This window comes from Homo sapiens, chromosome 18, assembly GCF_000001405.40.
Source record: "Homo sapiens chromosome 18, GRCh38.p14 Primary Assembly".
NCBI classification, from domain to species: domain Eukaryota; kingdom Metazoa; phylum Chordata; class Mammalia; order Primates; family Hominidae; genus Homo; species Homo sapiens.
Window position 1 is genome coordinate 52,323,004 of NC_000018.10, and position 19,722 is coordinate 52,342,725.

A 19,722-nucleotide genomic window follows, 5' to 3' on the forward strand; every position below is an offset into this window, starting at 1 on the left:
AATGAGAGTGCCAATTTGGGAAGTACATCTCAGCTCCCATTAAGCAGATGTGTCCTGAGCTATTACCAGTACAGACCTGTGGGCAGAGCCAGGGGTGGGGGCATCTCTTGCTCAAGAGCGGAACTGGCAAGGCTTAAGTAACATGGCTCTTTAAAATGAATTTTGCATCTTGGTATTTCATATGCTTTTAAAATGATCATGAACTTGGCCCTTTTTATTAATGCCGCTTATTTCTAGCATTTCCCCATCTGGCAGGGAAATGCCATATTGTCCTGGAAAACCCTGGGGCCTGGAAAAATTGGGACCATTTGGCCAACAGTGTCCTCAGCAGCTCTCAACACAGGGAAATATTAAAATATATTAACAATGGCAACCAACCAAACAATCAAAAAAAGTCTGATCTTTTAGGAGAAAGATCGGGGTTTTACCATAAAAGATGCAATGCTTCCCTGACCTGTGCTTTTGCGAATGCTAGTCCCTCAGCTTGGCACATTCTGCTTTTCCCCTCTGATCTGTAATCCACCTTTCACTTCTCCACCACCATCTGCCACACATGATTTCTTCGTTTACCTTTAGTCATTATTTGGGGCCACTTAGGTATTCCTTTTTTAGGGCAGCCTTCCCAGATTTTCTGGAGTCCAGATAGCACAGTCCTCTGTTTGGCCTTTTTGGTGCACTATACTGCCCATGTCTTAGGGCTTGTCATACTGAATTGCACTTGTCAGTACATTGGCTTTCCCCTCCACACAGAAAGTTTTGTAAAGTCCTGGAAGATCATGTTTAAGTTGTTGTGACATAGTAAGAAGGTCTTTTGCCCCTGATTCCTGGCACAGAGCTTCTAAAACCCCTGTAACTCCTGGGTGATAGGGGTGACAGGAACATCTTTTGTTAAAATATTTCATCTGGATACCTTTTTCCCAACCCAAGAGCTTCTCAGACCCCTGGAGTCTCCAGAGTGAGAAGAGTGTCTTTTTTATGCTAATGAGATGGCTAATGGCTTAGGTTCTCTACGTAGCTTTACAGTGTGGTCTGGTTACCAGAAGAACCAACCATGTGATTAGAGGGCTGGAACTTCAAACCACTCACCCCCTCCACCTCCAGGGAGAGGAGGGTGGTTGAGATTGAGTCAACCGCCAATGATCAATGATTTAATCAATCATGCCTACATCATGGAACCTGCATAAAACTCTTTAAAAGGGGGATTTGGAGAGCTCCTGGGTTGCCGAACTCACTGCTGCGCTGGGAGGGTGATGCACCCCAACTCCATGAAGACAAAGGTTCCTGCATTTAGGGCCTTCCAAACCTTGCCCTAGGTACCTCTTCATCTGGCTCTGCATCTGTGCTCTTTTTAATAGCCTTTATCATCAATGGGTAAATATAAGTAAAGTGTTTTCCTGAGTTCTGTGAGCCTCATAGCAAATTATCAAACATGAAGAAGGGATTGTGGGAAACTCTGGTTTGTAGCCAAGTTGGCCAAAAATGTGGGTAATCTGGGGGCCCACTATTTAAGATTGGCATCTGAAGTGGGGGGCAGTCTTGTGGTACTGAGCCCTTAATCTGTAAGGTCTGTGTTAACTCTGTGTAGTTAATGTCAGAATTAAATTAAATTGTAGGACACCCAGTAGATGGCCACAGAAAATTGCAGAATTGCTTAGTATGGAAAACCCACACATTTGTTGTCAGAATTGCTATGAATATAGACACAGCAATTTTTTTAGCTGTTTGTAATCCTACCCCAAAATATTACATATGCCTCAAGTTAAGATGTCTTTTCCCTTAGAAGGTTATTTCTTATCCAGTATTTGGAGATACTAGGAGTCATTTATTCTATTTCTTTATTGTCAATAACAAAGCACCCTTCAGAAAAAAATAGCTTTGTGTTGATCTCAATTCATAACAGTTTTGTATGTTTACATGGGTCACCTAATGTAGTTTTATTTAAGGTAAAAAAAATTGGTATGAATTTAGTAATTATTCTTAAGGATATGACCCCAAGATTGCAAGTATTTGAGGTCATCGTAACAAGATTTTTAATGATCATTTTACAAAAATAATACTGAAAGCAGTTAGGCTTTGAAGACACCAGTTCTACAGCTATGGAAAGAATGGAGAAATAAAATTGCCACATTTTGTGAAAATGGCAACTTGTAGTTTGGGGTATAGATTCAAAATGGCTGTATCTCAACATAGTAGAATGAGAAGGTGATGTGTTCTGGAAAACTGTGGAACACGTGACTAGGAAACAATTCCTGTGAAGAATGCAGATGCTGATGTTAAAAATGCATGTGAAATTGGCCGGGTGTGGAGGCTCATAACTGTAATCCCAGCACTTTGGGAGGTGGATCACCTGAGGTCGGGAGTTCGAGACCAGCCTGACCAACATGGAGAAACCCCGTGTCTACTAAAAATACAAAATTAGCCGGGCGTGGTGGCACATGCATGTAATCCCAGCTATGTGGGAGGCTGAGGCAGGAGAATCACTTGAACCCAGGAGGCAGAGGTTGCAGTGAGCTGAGATCGTGCCATTGCACTCCAGCCTGGGCAACAAAGAGTGAATCTCCGCCTCAAAAAAAAAAAAAAAAAAAAGAATGCATGTGAAAATAGACACTAGGGAGTACCAGAGGGAGGAGAGAGAGTTAGGGATCTGGGCTGAAAACCACATAAAACCTGGGTTTTATATTCACTACCTGGGTGATGGGATTATTTGTATCCTAAACCTCAGTGTCATACAATATACCCACATAACAAACCTGCACATGTACCCCCTGAATTATAAAATAAAATAATGTTGGAGTGAGAGTAAAAAAAAAAAAAAAAGAATGCATGTGAAGAGGATAAGTACAACTGCTAAAATGTGAGTGGAAAATAACTTTTCTAAATTAATATATTATGCATACTTTATATGGTTTAAAATGTGTACATAAATCCAAATGAACCAATCATTTAAGCAGTATTTAACTATTCTATCAACATCCCTAAAAGTGATTTTCATATTCACATTAGCCAAAAAAAAAGTAGGGATTTTCTTATTGGAGAAATGCAAAATGGTATTATTTACAGAAATACCTTTTATTCGGGGGTAAATATAGGTTGCTGTTTGTTGATGCAGTGAACTCTGCAATGACTGATACAGGATATGGGGCTGTAACATTGGCCCTTTGAGTGCTGTATTCAGACTGACTAATTCATCTCTCAGAACTGGGAAGATTGCCAAAAGACCCTTTGTGGTAAGTGGTAGTCAGAGTCCTAGCAGTTGTAAAGGCCTTCCTCATCCTGTGTTTATCCCATCCTGGTCACCATCACCCATGATATGAAAAAAAGAGGGACATTTCCCCATATCATGCATGATTCTATTGATTTCAAGAAGATCCAGATAAAATGGAATAAACAGAAAACTTATGGTAGCTCAAGTACCTTAAAAGTCAAGGGAAATGATCACCTTCTGCTTCAACTTAATCAGAGGCTTAATGTTACTGGGACTCTTTCTATCTCTCTGTGATTTTCTCCCTCTATGTGAGACCCATCCTCAGACAGACTCTTTTCTTACATTGAAAGAAAGAGCAGCAGCTCCAGGCCTGAAATCCTCTCAGCTCAAATCCAGCAGGAATCTCCTCATGCTCTGTCCAAGCATTCCAGCAAAATCTCGGTGCATCACACAGGTTCCAGGTGGGTCATAGTCACATTCCTAACACACCTTCATGGCTGGGGAAAACACCCAAAGAACAGCCTGAGATGAGGAGGAAGAAGGCTTGTTTCTACACTGAGAAATGAGAGTTCAGCATGCGAAGAAGGATGAATGGATGCAAGCAGTAAAAACAACAGATGATACCACATTTTCATATTTTCCTGATTGTCACAGTACTCCATGTTAATTATCATTCAGAAGAACAGGAAATAAACATAACACTCCTCGGCTCTTTTCTCAGGGATATCTATGAGTACCATTTTGTCATTCTTCATCCTAATTTTTCTATTTGTGTAATTTTTATAAAATGCAAATCATAGTGTAGATATAGAGCTGGTATTTTCACTTAGATTAAATAAGAATTTTAATATCTGATGAATAATCTATTATAAACAATTTAAATGGCTACATTCAAAAGCAATTTTTATAGTTAACTACGTTATTTTTTAAATTCCTTGGTTTTCCTGTTTACAGTCTAGATAGGAGACATTAAACACGGATGAAAGGTAGAAGTAGTCCAAGGGCAGAGATACAAATACTTGTGTTTATAATCTTCTTTACAGTCTCCAAGAATTGAGCCTTTAAGTATTTATTGAAAGAGTGTTTTTTTTTAACTTTTATTTAAGTTCAGGGGTACAAGTGCAGGTTTGTTACGTAGGTAAACTTGTGTCATAGGGGTTTGTTGTACAGATTATTTCATCACCCAGGTATTAAGTGTAGTATCCATTAGTTATTTTTCCTGATCCTCCCCTTCCTCCTACCCTCCACCCTCCAAAAGGCCACACTGTGTGTGTTGTTCCCCTCTATGTGTCCATGTATTCTCATCATTTGGCTCCCACTTAAAAGTGAGAACAAAAAGCATCATATTTTATGTAATCATTCCCATTTCTCTCTTGTGTGAGTCCCCCCAGCCTATACCTAATCTCAGAAGTAGATTCCTACCTTCCGGTCCAGTCACATCCTCTGCCCAATATTTGGTGATGAATGACCTCCACATATTGATTTGAACTGCACTGTGCCAAGTCTCAATGCCAAGACATGTCTTTGGCACAGGATGCTACACTAGAACTGTTCTTTCTGACTTGACCTGTTCTTGGTGTAACAACTGTTTGCTGAGACAAGACTGAAAGATGGCTGGGCCCCTGAATCATGGATCATAGGACCTTCTCTTTCCAAAGCTCCTGTGTGCAATGAAGAAATAGGCATTTCTTCAAAAAGGGTTAGAGAAGAACTTTAGCCAAATTAAATTTAAAGGAGTTTCATTGAGCAATGAATGATTTGCAATTCAGGCAGCCCCCAGAATCACAGCATATTCAGAGAGACTCCAGGGATGCCTTGTAGTCAGAACAAATTTATAGACAATAAAAAGGGAAATAGGGAGTGAAATATAGAAATCATAAGTGAGGTACAGAAACAACTGGATTGGTTACAGCTCAGTGTTCACCTTATTTGAAGACAATTTAAATGCTCAGCAGTGCATGAGTGGTTGAAGTATGGCTGCTGGGATTGGCCAGGACTAAGCTATTGTTACAGAAACATACTCTTAAGTTGGGTTTTCAATCTTATCTACCTATTAAGTTAGGTTGCAATTCATCCACAAGGACTCAAATATAGAAGTATGGGGTCTTTCTCAGGCCGTATTTACTTTGCTTTAACAAGGTACATATTGAACTTCTATTACATGTCAGTCATTATTACTACAGCTGGGAATATAATGGTGAGCAAAAATCTATATTTTCATCATGTTCACACTCTAGTGAGAAAGACAGACATATAATTATGTAAAATGGCCATTTGTGATAAGTGCAGTAAAGGAGAGGCACGTGGAGAGATGAGTGGTTATAATAGAGAATTTCATCTATAGTTTTTCTGAAGAATTAATAAGTGAGTTGAGAACTGAAGATGGGTTAGCAGTAACCAACAAAAGTGGTGGGGTAGAGAAAAAAATTCAAGAACAAAAAATAATCCCCTGATTCCTTGACTCTCTTACTTAAGATTGTACTTCTTCTTTGGTACCTTCTGTAAGAAAAGAGGTCAGGACAGTCTTACCAGAGGAATTAATGTTTGAGCAAAGACCCAAAGAAGTTAAGAAAAAAGCCACTTTGCTATCTGGCCAGGAATATTCCAGTGAGAGGAAATTTGTGCAAAGACCCTGAGATGGGTTGGTCCCTGTGTGGCCAGGAACAGCCGGAAGCCAGTGGCTGGAGAAGTAAACTGAGTGGGGACACACAGGAGTCAAATTCAGAGTGAAAGAGAGGGAGGAGCAGGTCCTGTGAGTGTTTGTATTCATCATGGGGCACTGTAAAGAATTTTAGTTTTGAGGGAGATGAAATTGAACTTGAGGGAGAGGAGTAAGATGTAGAACCACTGAAAGATTTTGAGCAGAGTGATCTGATCTGACTTACACTTAAAAAGAAATCATCTGGCTATATTGAGAAGAGATTGTATAGAGTACAAGTTGGAAGCACAGTGGCTCTTGGAGCATATTTAAGTTCCCGTTTACAAAGGAAGAAATGGAGGCACAGAGATTTTAACTTGACTAAAGTCATATAGCACAGATAATTGATTTGAACTTAGGTTTAGCTGATCTTAAAGCCCCTGCCCTTTCTACTATGTCAGATTTGTGTGTGTGTGTGTGCATATTAATTATAAAAGTAGGATCATACAATGTATGATACTTGAATAGTTTTTCACTTTTTCATTTAAGATGTTACGAAGTATGTCAACACATCATTTTTCTATAGCATCATTTTTAAGGCTTACACCTTAGTCCATTGTATAGATGTACAATCTTCAGATAACCTACCTCCTTTTGTTATTTTTAAATTATTATTAAAAATCTAAATAAATATTTGCATTGGGAATTCTTCCATCCTCTTCAGGGAAAAGGCCAAACATCCCAAGGAAAATATTTTAGAATATATTTCCTGTTGATGAGAAGGTGATCTTTCATACATGAGAAAACAATGTAAACTCAATGACAGCATTGGCCTTTTTATTTTAAAGTACTTAAAGCAATTTCTAAAAGAATATATTTTCACACTTTGCGAAGTAAGCATGAAACTACACAAAATTACTAATTAATTAGATTTGGAGATGCAGTCAATATGTTCATGAGGAAGGGCAATATTTTGTGTAGAAACTAAAGTGCCTATATTTTAATGTGTTAGTTTAAAAAATCAGTAGGCAAATGTTCTTGTCTCACCCTCCGGAACATTAGATCTCAATGATTTTATTGGTTTGGTGATGATGACATTGTAAAGGTTTGGGTTCTCCTTCTTTTACAGAAGCCTAGGAGTATCATTTCTTTCCGGTTGTCTTAGCTATTCCTTTTCCTTTCCAATACAGTGCAGTCTTCCTGTCTAGGCTTTTCAAGTTTCCCTCACCTCCTTTACTATCACACCTCAAAAAAATAGATTTGTCTCCTCTTTTTTTTTTTCTTCAAAAGTGTCTCAGTGCTGTGGACTTGAGAGAACCCATGTTATATAAGAAAAAACATCACAAGTTTTCTTATGAATCAAAGCCAGCAGTTAGGCCTTCTGCAATGTTTCACATGGTGGAACTAGAAACAGGAAATTATTCAATTAAACCTCCGTAGTTCACCACTGTAGCAACAAATAGGCTATTTCAGAAGCAGTTTTCCCAGCCTCAGAAGGAGAATTCCCCCAGTGCCGGGGAGTAGAGTGGTGCAAAAGTACCAATTTTCAAGAGTATTCAACTGCAAAAATGACACTTTTCTACTTGCAAAAGAACTTTCTTTGGCTGTTTTCTGAGACAGAAGGAAATCTCCTTTCCCATTTTGGAAATCAATAAGGCTTTTTCCTCCACTGCTATGGGTTATTATAAAAGAAACTACCCATGTTTCTGGAGATAACTTGTAGAAGATGATTACTGAAACACTGCCAACTCTGCTCTCCTGTGGGCCGCCATCTGGAGGTTGGGGACTGCTGGTTGGAAGGATGTGAAGAATATCCATTCAGGTTCCTAATGCTCGTATCTCCCAGACATTTCAACAAGTTTGCAATAGAGTATTTTGAGCCAACGCCATCTAGAGCCCAGGATAAAGTTCCCTTACCATTTCTCATTGCAAGTCATTACCAGGACACTTTCAGGGCACTCTTGTTGAGTTGCTCAGCTGGAATTTTTATAATAGCCTATGACACAATTAAATATACAGCCCATATCCAAGGAAGATATTGCTAGCTGCAGAGAAGTGATGGTGTCTCTCTGAGGAGCTGTTTCTTATGACAGCCTCCCTTCCCTATATAAACCGGGGGCAGCCTGACCAGCAGTGCCAGGATTATAGGCATCTGTGGAGTAGTGCCTACTCAAGTATGAGCTCTTCTACTTTTTAAGTGTGTGATGTTGGGCCGGCAATTTTAACTCCCTTAGTTTCAGGGTTCTCATCTGTGAATACAAATGAAAATACTTTACAAGGTTATTATGAGAATTAAAGAGATAACATATGTCAAGTGCCTGGCATACAGCCTGATACATAATAGGCATGTAAATGGTGGTAGCATGTTTCTCTTCTATTCCATGTGAAATTCAGTCTATCCCCAGAGTGGTCACTAGGCATACATTCTCACCTCTTCTCTTTCCACTAACATGACCATAAAAAGCCATTTTCTTAGTTTCTCCACTCAGGCCTACTTCCTCACAGAGTTGAGCTCTAACAACTTGCAATTCTTTCCAAACCATTAAATATACATACAGATATGTATGTGTATATATATATATACACGCACACACACACACATATATAATATATATATACACACACAGATAGATGTATATTTAATGGTTTGGAAAGAGTTGCAAGTGGTTAAAGCAACTCTTTCTCTCTCTATATATATGTATATACACACATACACATATACACATATATGTGCATGTGTATATGTCTCTATGTATACATATGTGTGTACATGTCTCTATATATAGAGAGATAGGTTTCTCTCTCTATATAGAGAGCGGATTCTATGTATGTATGTATATAGAGAGAGGTTTGTATATTTAATGGTTTGGAAAGAGTTGCAAGTGGTTAAAGCAACTCTATATTATATATAAAATCTATTATGATATAATAGACAATGTTAGTGTGAAATTAGTAATGTATAATATTAATACATTACATGATTAAATATATATTACATTGAACATATACATTACATATTATACGTAATGTAATATGTTACATTACACTAAATAAATATATGTAAGATACATTAATATATATTTACTAGGACTCATACTAATTTTAATTCTAAACTCAACCAGGAGGCACCCACATTTACAGGGCAATAAAGAAAGAAGAGGTAATTTAAAAAGCAAAAGGGGCAAATACAGTTTTGAAATGAAGGCTCTCTCTGAACAGGGAACCTCAGGGTATACTGTCGGTGCAAAACAGAGGAGTATTTACCACCCTACCGTGGGTTCACCATCACCTCAAATGTGACATAACATGGCATTGGGTTTTTTAGTGGATACAACACATAAATTTCTTCTGTCAAATTTAAAGACAATCGAAATGTTCACATTTTTTCACACTCATTTGAAGTCAAACCTATTATTTCCTATTGCTCACTTGCTGAATTGGGATTTTTTGTTGGGAGTGGGTAGGTGTCTGGAGGAGTTACCAAGTGTAGTCCTTTCCAAGTATTTTCATTCATTTAGAGATTTTAGATTAATTTCATTGTTCTATTCTGCTGAAATCTTTTTGAATTTTAATGGTGCTGACAATTATAATAGTTATTCCTTCTAGTTTTCTATCACCAACTAATTTATTCTGCATGTTAATATCTCCATGCCAGGTATCAGTTTAAAAATATTTGCTATGGGGACGAGGGGAAGCAGAGCACTATGATAAGTCACAGGAGAATAATCTTTTAACTGGGCGTTAATTGATATTGACCAATTAATACACACTCTGGTAGTAGGGATTCACCACACTTCATTATAGTTTGGATCATATTTAACTTAGGTATTTACAACAATACCATGAGTATAATACAAAACACTTGTAAAAATCCAGATATGATTTTTTTTGTGTTAATTTTCAGTCATTTCAATCTGCAATAATTTATTCTAAGTGAACCCATGCTGGCTCCCAGTGGCCTTACATCCTTTCCTAAGTGTTTATAAATCATGTCTTAAATAATTAATTTTTATCTCCAGTCTGAGAGAGATTTCAAGCTCACTTGACTGTAGTTAGAAATAACTATAGCCTTCCATTAAAAAAAATCAAGGAAACCTATTTTCAAAAGGCACAAATGCCTCTCCTATTCCTTAAAGATTAACAAAAGTGATTCAGCCATCTCTTTGGAAATACATATTTGAAGCAAGAAAGGTTGGGTATTTTTGGAATAAGCACTCTAGGACCCTTTCCTTGCTGGAGATTTTCCCCCTACCATGCCCTACACAAATCACCCTCTTCTATCTAGCTGATTTAGTCTCAGACTCCAGAATTTTACATACCCATTATCACCTCAAACTCTTTGCTAGATTAATAGGACCACTGAGTCTTATTATATTATCTCCAAGAGGTCATCCCTGAACACCTCACTCCCTCCTGTCTCTAAACTACTGCAGTATTTTGTTGTTGTTGTTGGGGGAGGCTATTACATAAATAGAGTTTTAAATTATAGGTCAAAAAATACACCTGTTTTCTTTGTTCAGATTGGAGGCTGCTTGAAAGGATGAACTCTTTCTTTTTCTTCCATGCAACCATCTTGTTCTCTTATATTGATATTAGGCATTAAGAAAAGCTTGCTGATGAATGATAGTAATGAAGCCTTTCCTTCCTTGTCATATGGCCACACACCCAGAATTAGACGTCTGTTGACCAAAAATCAGTTGCAAAACTGGCACTGGACAAAAAATCATAAATTTTAAAGTGGGAAAAAGCACTTATTAAATAGAATCCTTGTTTTTAATTAGTTTAATTAGAATGCTTCATGTTGTAAAATGTATATATTCTCCTTAACCTGGATTAAATAATAAAAGAATTAATTGACCCCTATAAGTGAGAAATCCAAAGGCAGGGATGGCTTTAGGTTAGATGGCTTATTCCAATGACCCAAATAATGTAACCAAAATCTCAGTTTCTTTCTGTTTCTTCACTTTGATTCTACAGTTTCAACTTCATTTTCAGGTTCTGTATTAGCTTTTTTGTTGCTGCTATAACAGATTGCTACCAAATTTGTGGTTTAAAACAAAAACAAATTTATTATCTCACAGTTCTGGAGATCAGAAGTCAGGAAATGCATCTTTTACTTATAAAATCAAAGTGTTCACAGGGCTGTGCTCCTTCTAGAGGCTCCAGGGGAGAGCCTGTTCCTCTAGCTTCTAGAGGCTGCTTGCATTCTGTGGCTTGTGGTTCCTCTTGAGCAATGATATCACTCTGACTTCTGCTGTCATTGTCATACATCCCTTTCTTACTCTGCCTCTCTCTTTCAACTTTTAAGGATGCTTATGATTGTAATTGGTCTTCCTAGATAATCCAAGATAATCTCCCCATTGCAAAATCCATCTTTATCACATCACAAAGTCCCTTTTGCCGTGTCAGGTAACAGTCTGGCCTAGTATCTGGATGTGGGCATCTTTGGAGGGCTGTTATCTTCCTTTCCACAGTCTTCCTTCTAGTCCTGATAGATTCGCATTGATTTCCCATGAAAACTACGTTCATCCCTTCCCAGCATGTCCAGAAGTTTCAATCCATTACAGCATCAACTCAGAGTCCAAAAAATCTCACATTAGCAGCTCAAAGGACCCAAATCACATCATCTAAATCAGGTATGGGTAAGACTCTGGCTATGACCCATACTGGGGAAGATTTCCTCTTTTCTATGGACCTGTGAAGCTAGAAAGCAAGTTATATGATCTCAAAATACAATGTTGTAACAGCACACAAAGCCAGCTACAAAACTTCTTCTCAAAAGGAAGAAAGTCAGAAGAAAATAAAAGGAATCCTTGGTCCCAAGAAGTTTTGAAATCCAGCTTGGCAAAAAAAAAAAAAAAACATTAGTTTTCAAGTCTTGGGAACAATTATCTGTGGTTTATGTCTTCATCCTCTTGGCTCTGAGCTCTGCCCTCTAGGTTCATATTTCTGACCTTGTAATTATTTTTCTTTCATTCTTTTTCATAAGGGTAGTACCTACTTGCAACTGAGTACTCGTAGCTTCTTTCCTGCCTGTAGAATTTTAAAAATCTAGCAGCCTTCTTTCATTTTGTCTTCTTTGTCCCTTTGAGTCCAATCTGGCAGTGTTTCTGCTGATATAACAATCTCAAGAAGCTTGCTGGTCTTCCACATATGTCTTGGGTATTTACTCTATTAGAGAGGAGACTCTTCCACAGGCCTTTCCTGCATAACTTCTTCTTTACTTCTGGCTTCTGTCAAGACAGCTGAGAGGATCCATGAGTCACATGCCTAATTTCCTCAAAAAACCCACTGCATGACTGAATATTCTGATCTTTTGATCTTTGTGAGGCATGAGCAACACACTATTTACTTTCTCTACACAGTATGCGTTCCTAACCATAAATTTCCTAATTTCAGTGTGATTTATAATCTGAATAGGCTGATAATTTCCCAAATCAAGTACTGTTGTTTTCTTTTTATATAAAGAGTTTTTCCCTCAGTCTATCTCTTTATCATATTTTACTATAAGCAGCAAGGAGAAATTTGATCACATCTTCAACACTTTGTTTGGAAATCTTAGCAAATATCCAAGTTTATCACTTGCAAGTTCTGCACTCCACATAGTAGTAAGAAATAACTGTGCTAATATTTTTGCCACTATATAACAAGGACCCCATTTTGCATTTTTTTCTGAGACCTCATCATCAATGCCTTTAGTGTCCATATTTTACTAACAGTCTATTCAAGGCAATCTAGGCATTTTTTCTGTTTCCCAATTCCAATGTCACCTGGACAATTTTAAGTATTGTTACAGCAGCGTCTCACTCCAGGGAACCAAAATCAATACTAGCATTCTATTACTCTTGCAATCAACCACCACAAATTTAATGACAGAAAACAACACAAACAACACAAATTTATTATCTTACAGTCAAATATTCAAGTAAAGATTTTACAAAGCCAAAATCAATATATCAGTAGGACTGTGTTCCCTACAGAGGCTCCAGTGAACATCTGGTTTTTTTCCTTCTCCAACCTTCAGAGGCTGCCTGCATTCCTTGGCTCATGAACCCTTCCAGTAATGGCATCACTGTGCCCTGACCTCTGCTTTTGCCCTCACATCCCTTCCTCCAACTCTGGCTTTCTGTCTCTCTCTTCCATTTTCTAAGGCCCCTGTGATTTCACTGGGCACATTGGGTAATCAAAGATAATCGCCTCATCTTATGATCTTAACTTTATAACATTTGCAAATCCCTTTTATCATGTAAAGTCACATTTTCACAGGTTTTGCCGATTCGGATGTAGGTATTTTGAGGTAGGGGGTGGAGGGTATTTTTCTGCCTACCACAGGTTCTTCATGGGGATCTGATGGAAGCACCAAGATTTCTTTTAAATTAGTCCCTTCATTGAAACTCATACTCTTCCACAGTCTGAGGGGAAAAGGATTACTCCCAGCAGTGCCTCCATGAGGGACGCAAAGCTTCTCCTTCAAACAAGCCCCAGAAAATGTCTTCTTCACTCTGATTGGCTGAGGGCTCAGTTTTGAATTTCTCATCGTGATCAGAAAGACAGGCTACTCTGCGTGACTAAAGTGATTCAGGATCCATTACCTCAATTTTGTAGTTGAGAAATGTGGAGCAGTAGTACCCTCAGAGCAAACTGTAAGACCTGTTATTAGAATAAGTTAGAAGAGATTAGGAGGAAGACAAGCAAGCAAACAAAAAACAAAAACAAAAGCCCACAAATATCACCTAAAATATACCACTTCACCCCATGATTGTAAATTAGCCCATGTCAAATGACCACATCATATTTATATTTGTATATTCTATATAGATAGCACATAGCCTAAGTCTAATATAATAATTGGCTTTCTTAAATGACTAAATGGTGAACTATTATATTGTCACATTCATGTGATTTGATCTGCAACGTAATAAAATTCATAGCTTTATAATACCTTTTGACTAGGTGTTATTGGTTTTGCAAATATATTTCTCAAATATGTTTTAGAAAGTATTGAAAGTCAGATTATGATATTGGGAGAACAAAAATAGATTCAGATAATTAATTTTCAGAATAAAAATAAGACAAGAATGCAGTTCCAAAATGGATGTTCTGAAAGGAATTGTACACTTTTAATTTGTCTTATTTTCTTGGCCTAATCTCAGAAAATCAATGCTCCTCATACACCCCCACCCCTAATACACACATAACTAAGAGTATATGTGATTTGAAAAAACTGAAAGTGCAGATTAATGCACCTTCTGAACTCAAAAGTGTGTCTGGACATCTGTATATTCTATCACCAGATTAAACCTCAGAAGGGGTCTTTCAAAACGTCTTAAATACTATGTGAAGAGTATCAGCTATGCTAAACTATTTGCTGTGGCCCGCATTTCTCTCCTGTTTCTGCCTGATCTTTTGATATTCTTTTTTTGTTTTTGTTTTCCTAGTAAGAGGCTATGTGGCAAGTGGGCCTGATACCTCTGAGAGGAGAGATGAGGAGACGCAGTGTCTCTCAAGTATAAATCACTGAACTGTGAGTCAGAAAATAGCAAAGTTGTTTCTAAGAGAATACTCTAAAATCAAGCTGAGTCATCTAAGATGAAGGAAAGAGTATTGGGGAAGAGAATACAAGCAACTTTCAGAAGCTAGCTGTGGAACCAAATGAGTATCTAAGAGGAAGAGAAGTCAATGGTCTTTTGTAGAAGCCCATTAGTCAGTGGACTGATGGCTTGGATTACTCAGTACAGGGGTCAAGGGCCATAGTGAAGAGTAACTTGATCACTAGAACAGCTATGTGAGGCTGAAGGAGATCTGAGTGGTATTTGGTTTTCTGTTTCTGTATTAATTTGCTGAGGATAATGCTTTCCATCTTCATCTGTATCCCTGTGAAGGACATGATTTCATTCCTTTTTATGGCTGCATAGTATTCCGTGGTGTATATACACCACATTTTCTTTATCCGGTCTATTATTGATGAGCATTTAGGATGATTCCATGTCTTTGCTATTATGAATAGTGCTGCAATGAACATATGTGTGCATGTACCTTTATAATAGAATGATTTACATTCTTTTGGGTGTATATCCAGTAACAAGATTGCTGGGTCAAATGGTATTTCTGCCTCTAAGTCTTTGAGGAATAACCACAATGTCTTCCACAATGTTCTCACTTATAAGTGGGAGCAAAATGATGAGAACACATGGACACATGGCGAGGGAACAAAACACACTGGGATCTCTCAGAGGGAGGGGCTGAGGGGAGGGAAAGCATTAGGAAGAATAGCTAATGGATGCTGAGCTTCATACCTAGGCGATGGGATGATCTGTGCAGCAAACCACCATGGCACACATTTAGCTCTGTAACAAACCTGCATATCCTGCACATGTACCATGAACTTAAAATAAATTTGAAGAAAAATCCAGATCTGAGCAACATGGACCATTTTTGGTTTCCTACCCTCCCTCCCACTTGTTGAAGACATCCTATTACTGATATGGGAAATACAGGACTTCATTAGTCTTGAGAAGAAGTTGCAACTCTTCCCTCATACCTACTATCTTATGCAATGGTTCTTTACATCATTTTGGCAGGGAGGCAGGCTTGAACTCACCTTATACATTTACTGAAAGCTAAAGATTCCCTTCCCAGTTAAACAGCATGTTCACACAAGCCAATCACTTTTCATAAAATTTCAGGATATTCACAAACTTCCTGAATTTTGTTGGTGGAGACTTCCTGGGAAGATTCATGGACTGAGTTAAGAACCCTTGCTGTAGAACCCAGTCCTGAACCACTAGAGGCTTCACCTCAGCTAATGGAAGTTTTGAGTGTTTCAAGAAATTTGGGGGTAACCAAAGAGTTTCATCCAATTCTAAAGAATCCATCCATGTAAGCTATTTCAGAAGGTTTTGCTTTAGTGAACACAGGCACTTCATATTTTAACTTTTCCAGGACAGGAAGGAATGGGCATGACTAGGGATCTAAAACACTGTTGTCCAGTTCCAGCATCATAGGAGTTTCCCTGATGATGATTTTATCCTGGATTTTTCATGCTTTCCCTCACGCCTTTCTTCTTAAATAGATGTTCACATTCTCTCTGCTCACAGCCTGGTGAGCATGGGAGGGTGACAAGAACAGGTGGGGAAGAATCTAGTAAGGAATGGTCTGAATCCACAGCTGAACATCTCCTTAAACGACAGAATTTTACCAGAATGACATTTCTATTCATTATCCTTCCCGGCCAAATTAATTGGTTTGTAAGTTCACTTATTCTGCAGAAACGTATTGGCATGTGCAGAATTCCAAGTTCTATGCTAGCATCTGTGAGGAGTGCAAAAATGGATGGCATACAACCTCTCTCTTCTCAAAGGAGCTTGAGTTCCCGCAGCAGAGACAAGTTATGCAAAGGAACTCAGCTTAAAACAGTTTCCTGAAAGGGCTTTACTGTTCACCCTTCCTAAGTTTCCTGCTGTGTGTGTGCTTGTGTGTGTGTGCACACACACGCGTGTGTATGGTTGCTTCACTTTATCTGCCAGGGACTGGAGAAATGTCTCTCTTGTTTTCCCAGAGCACCCCCTCCATTACGTGAACCATCATATTTATCACGATACTTTATAATTATCCATTTAGCTTCTCTCCTGACGGATCACAAACCCCTTGAGGATAGAGACTGAGTCTCACTGGATGTCCCAACTATTTCCTGGGAGCCAACAGAACACCTGGAACATGATAAGTGCTTTTAAATATGTTAAAGAAAACAATTGCGAGAGAAGAGAGAACACAGACGACATGAGACGTCCTACAAAAGGAGGCCCCTTAGCTATTATGTCAGGAAATAACTCTGGCCTTTGTCCTGTCCGCTGTGTGTTTCAGGATCTCGATTTCCCTCCCGTCCTAGAAGGGAGTTGGATCAGGTGATTCTTTCCAAATGAAAAATTGTATTTTAAATAATGCCAAGGGCAGAGAAGGAAGTAAACATCCTGGCCACCTCCTCCGCCTTAAACGCCCGCCTAGGTTTTACAGTCAAATACCAATAATTTCCTGAAGGCTGAGTGTCAAACACGGTCGCTGCAAAACCTCCAGACGCTCAGGATGTTCGCAGGCTCCATTGACAAAAGTGACTTCCCACGCTTTGCCCACAGAGGGCATCCCTGCGCATTGATACGCAGACCAGGCAAATGCAGCTCCTGGAAGCCTCCTCGGTCCGCTCTTTTTTCCCTAAGCCATAGTCTGTCTGCCCCCACCCCCTTCCCGTGGAATCTTTGCCTGATCCAGTTCGTTTCCCTCCGGTCTCCACATTTTCCCTTCCAGCCCTCCACTTCTCCGGATCAATGTGTAGTACGGTTCCAACTCCCAGCTCGCACACCGCTGGCGGACACCCCAGTAACAAGTGAGAGCGCTCCACCCCGCAGTCCCCCCCGCCTCTCCTCCCTGGGTCCCCTCGGCTCTCGGAAGAAAAACCAACAGCATCTCCAGCTCTCGCGCGGAATTGTCTCTTCAACTTTACCCAACCGACGACAAGGAACCAGCCTCAACCTTTTAATGCACAGCCCGGCCACAGGATTGCCTTCCATCTCCTCTTGGTCCCTCCTGGATGTGGTTTATTGATGACTTGCGAGCCCCTCAGAGAGCTGTCTTCCCTCCTCTGGCTCCCTCCGTTTCCTTGAGTTAGTTTTCTAAGGTTTTACCGGGGCTCGGGATCTCTTGGACCGAATGGAACTTTTTGCTGCCTGCTTTTGCTGCTGATTCTGTCAGTGGACAAGGAAAAAGGCTTCGAAGGCAGCAGAGGCGCAGGGGAGGTGGAGAAAGAGGTGGAGGAAGAGGACGAGGAGGAGGAGGAAGCCGAAGGGGCTCGGCGCGTGTGTGTGCATGTGTGCATGCGTGTGTGAGTGCATGTGTGTGAGTGCTGCCGCTGCCCGCGACCCCTGGCCCCGAAGGTGTTGGCTGAAATATGGAGAATAGTCTTAGATGTGTTTGGGTACCCAAGCTGGCTTTTGTACTCTTCGGAGCTTCCTTGTTCAGCGCGCATCTTCAAGTAACCGGTAAGTGGCTCTTTCCTTTCTTCTCGTCGCACCCCCTTCCGTACCCCACTTCCCTTCTCATTTCATTTGGCGAGTAGTAGAATTGGGGTGGGGGATAGCAAGAGATTTGGCGCTTGCGCTGCCCCCATTTGCGCACCGATGATAAAAGATAGAAGAGTTTTTTTCTTCCCTGGGGGCGGATGATGGTGGGGGGGTGGTACAAGGGGCGCCCCTTCGCTGTTTTAAAATCTGATGCTTCACGCATTTTTGCTTCTGCAAATACTTGGGTTGGTTTGGAGAGCCGGCGGGCTGGGGCAGGTGCTGGGGATATCGTTGAAAGGAACTGGGCTGGGTCCTTAAAGCCCCAGAAACCTACCAAGTGGGGAGGATTGGGGCAACAGGAGCAGGCGAGGAGGACATCCAGGGGCTTTGAGGAAGTCTGCGCAGAATGTAGATGGTGGGGCTGAGTCGTTGGTGTGTGAATACATCTCCTTTTGGTTTGGATTTTTGGACTTGGTGATTGAGAATAGGGAAAGGGACAGCTAATATGTTTTGGTACTTCCAAGGAGGGGATCCTGGTACTGAAGGAGGCACAGAGTTGCCAAGGAGGAGGGGAGGTGTGTTTAATATTGTTTTATTTTTTAACGGTGAATGTAGTTCGCAAGCTGAGTCTCCATATAGCTCCAGGACACCTCCAAACTCCAAGTGATTGATATTCCAGAGAACCGGCGCCCTGACCCTGGCACTTGCCTAGCTCAGTTTCTAATTAAAAATGGCAAAACTGTTTGGGGATTGGATCTGGCTAGTGCAGGAGAAAGAGGGACCTGGAGGCTGGCTGATCAGGACTGCTGTAATCTCCGAATACGGAGCTGGCGGCTTCGACGGCCAAAAGAATAGAAAAGAGCAAAATGACTCATGATAAGGTCCACTTGTTTTGCGGGACCTCACCGCAAGTGTAGATGGGCACTGGGGTACAGTGAGCGGTCCTGGCAAAGAAGGAGAGGAGAGCGGCTGGATGAGCATTCAGAGAGCCCTTCGGAAACGACCTTTTTCCAAATCCAAAGGAAAAACAGGCTCAGGCAGAGACCGGGCGTTGAGTAGGAGCTCCCCAGTTCGTGCCTGGGAAATTAACAGGGAATGGCACATCAATCGCGGCCAAGCCCCCAGCCTCCCCGGAGTCCGCAGCTCCGGCTTTCTCTTCTCTGCTAAGTGCTGCATGGCCAAGGGTTGCGAACGCGAGCAGAAAATGCGCCTCTCACTGTCGCGAGGGATTCAGACAGTCAAGCGCCAAGGCAGCCCGAGGCTCCCCAAAGCCTCGCTCGGCCGCACGCGGGCAGGAATCTGCGCTTGCACTCGGGCTCAGCTCCTCATCTTCCTTTGGCCAGAGACAGAGAGAGCAGGCAGGAGGGGTGTGTGTGTGTGCGTGTGTGTGTGTGTGTGTGTGCACGCGCGCTGTCCTGTGATGAGCGCGTACCCGCATCCCCGCGCTTAGCCGCTGGTGCTCCCTCCCTCCGTCTGTCCCTCCCGGGCCGGTCCCCTCCTCCCCTGGCTCTTCTCTCCCGGAGCTTTGTCCTCAACAATTACTCTCGCAAAAGGTGGGTGGGGGTGGGGGGGTGGGCATCTCCACAGTAATGAATAGGTGTCTGTTTTAAATTGCCTCCTCGAGACCCTCAAATGCTAGAGGCTGCGGGGAGGAGGACCCTCCTTCTGCCCAGAAGATTGACTTGGGCTTTCTATAGCAGTTTGGGAGACCTATGCGGACGGGAAAGGGGAAGTTCAGGGGGCATCCCTTACTGGGTAGAAAGTCTGCCTAACAGCAGCACTGCTGACCTGAAATGTGCTAGCTGAATGCACTGCATGAAGCAAGG

General features: G+C 40.8%; 1 protein-coding gene across 4 annotated transcripts in view, besides 1 other annotated feature; it reads left to right on the plus strand.

Annotated features, from left to right (window-relative positions):
* Positions 754-1,265: an enhancer, noted in NCBI's record as "OCT4-NANOG hESC enhancer chr18:49850127-49850638 (GRCh37/hg19 assembly coordinates)". NCBI's record gives its function as "activates a minimal SCP1, AML or CMV promoter by ChIP-STARR-seq in naive H9 embryonic stem cells {active_cell/tissue: H9 hESC(naive)}" and the evidence as "EXISTENCE:reporter gene assay evidence [ECO:0000049][PMID:30033119]".
* DCC (DCC netrin 1 receptor) overlaps positions 17,194-19,722 on the plus strand; it is a 1,195,703-nt gene continuing 1,193,174 nt past the window's right edge. For all 4 annotated transcript variants that reach the window (NM_005215.4, XM_017025568.2, XM_017025569.2 and 1 more), the window contains exon 1: positions 17,194-17,875. In NM_005215.4, the coding sequence (NP_005206.2) occupies positions 17,785-17,875 (91 nt within the window). In that variant the 5' untranslated portion in view covers positions 17,194-17,784. The remainder of the gene's footprint in view (positions 17,876-19,722) is intronic.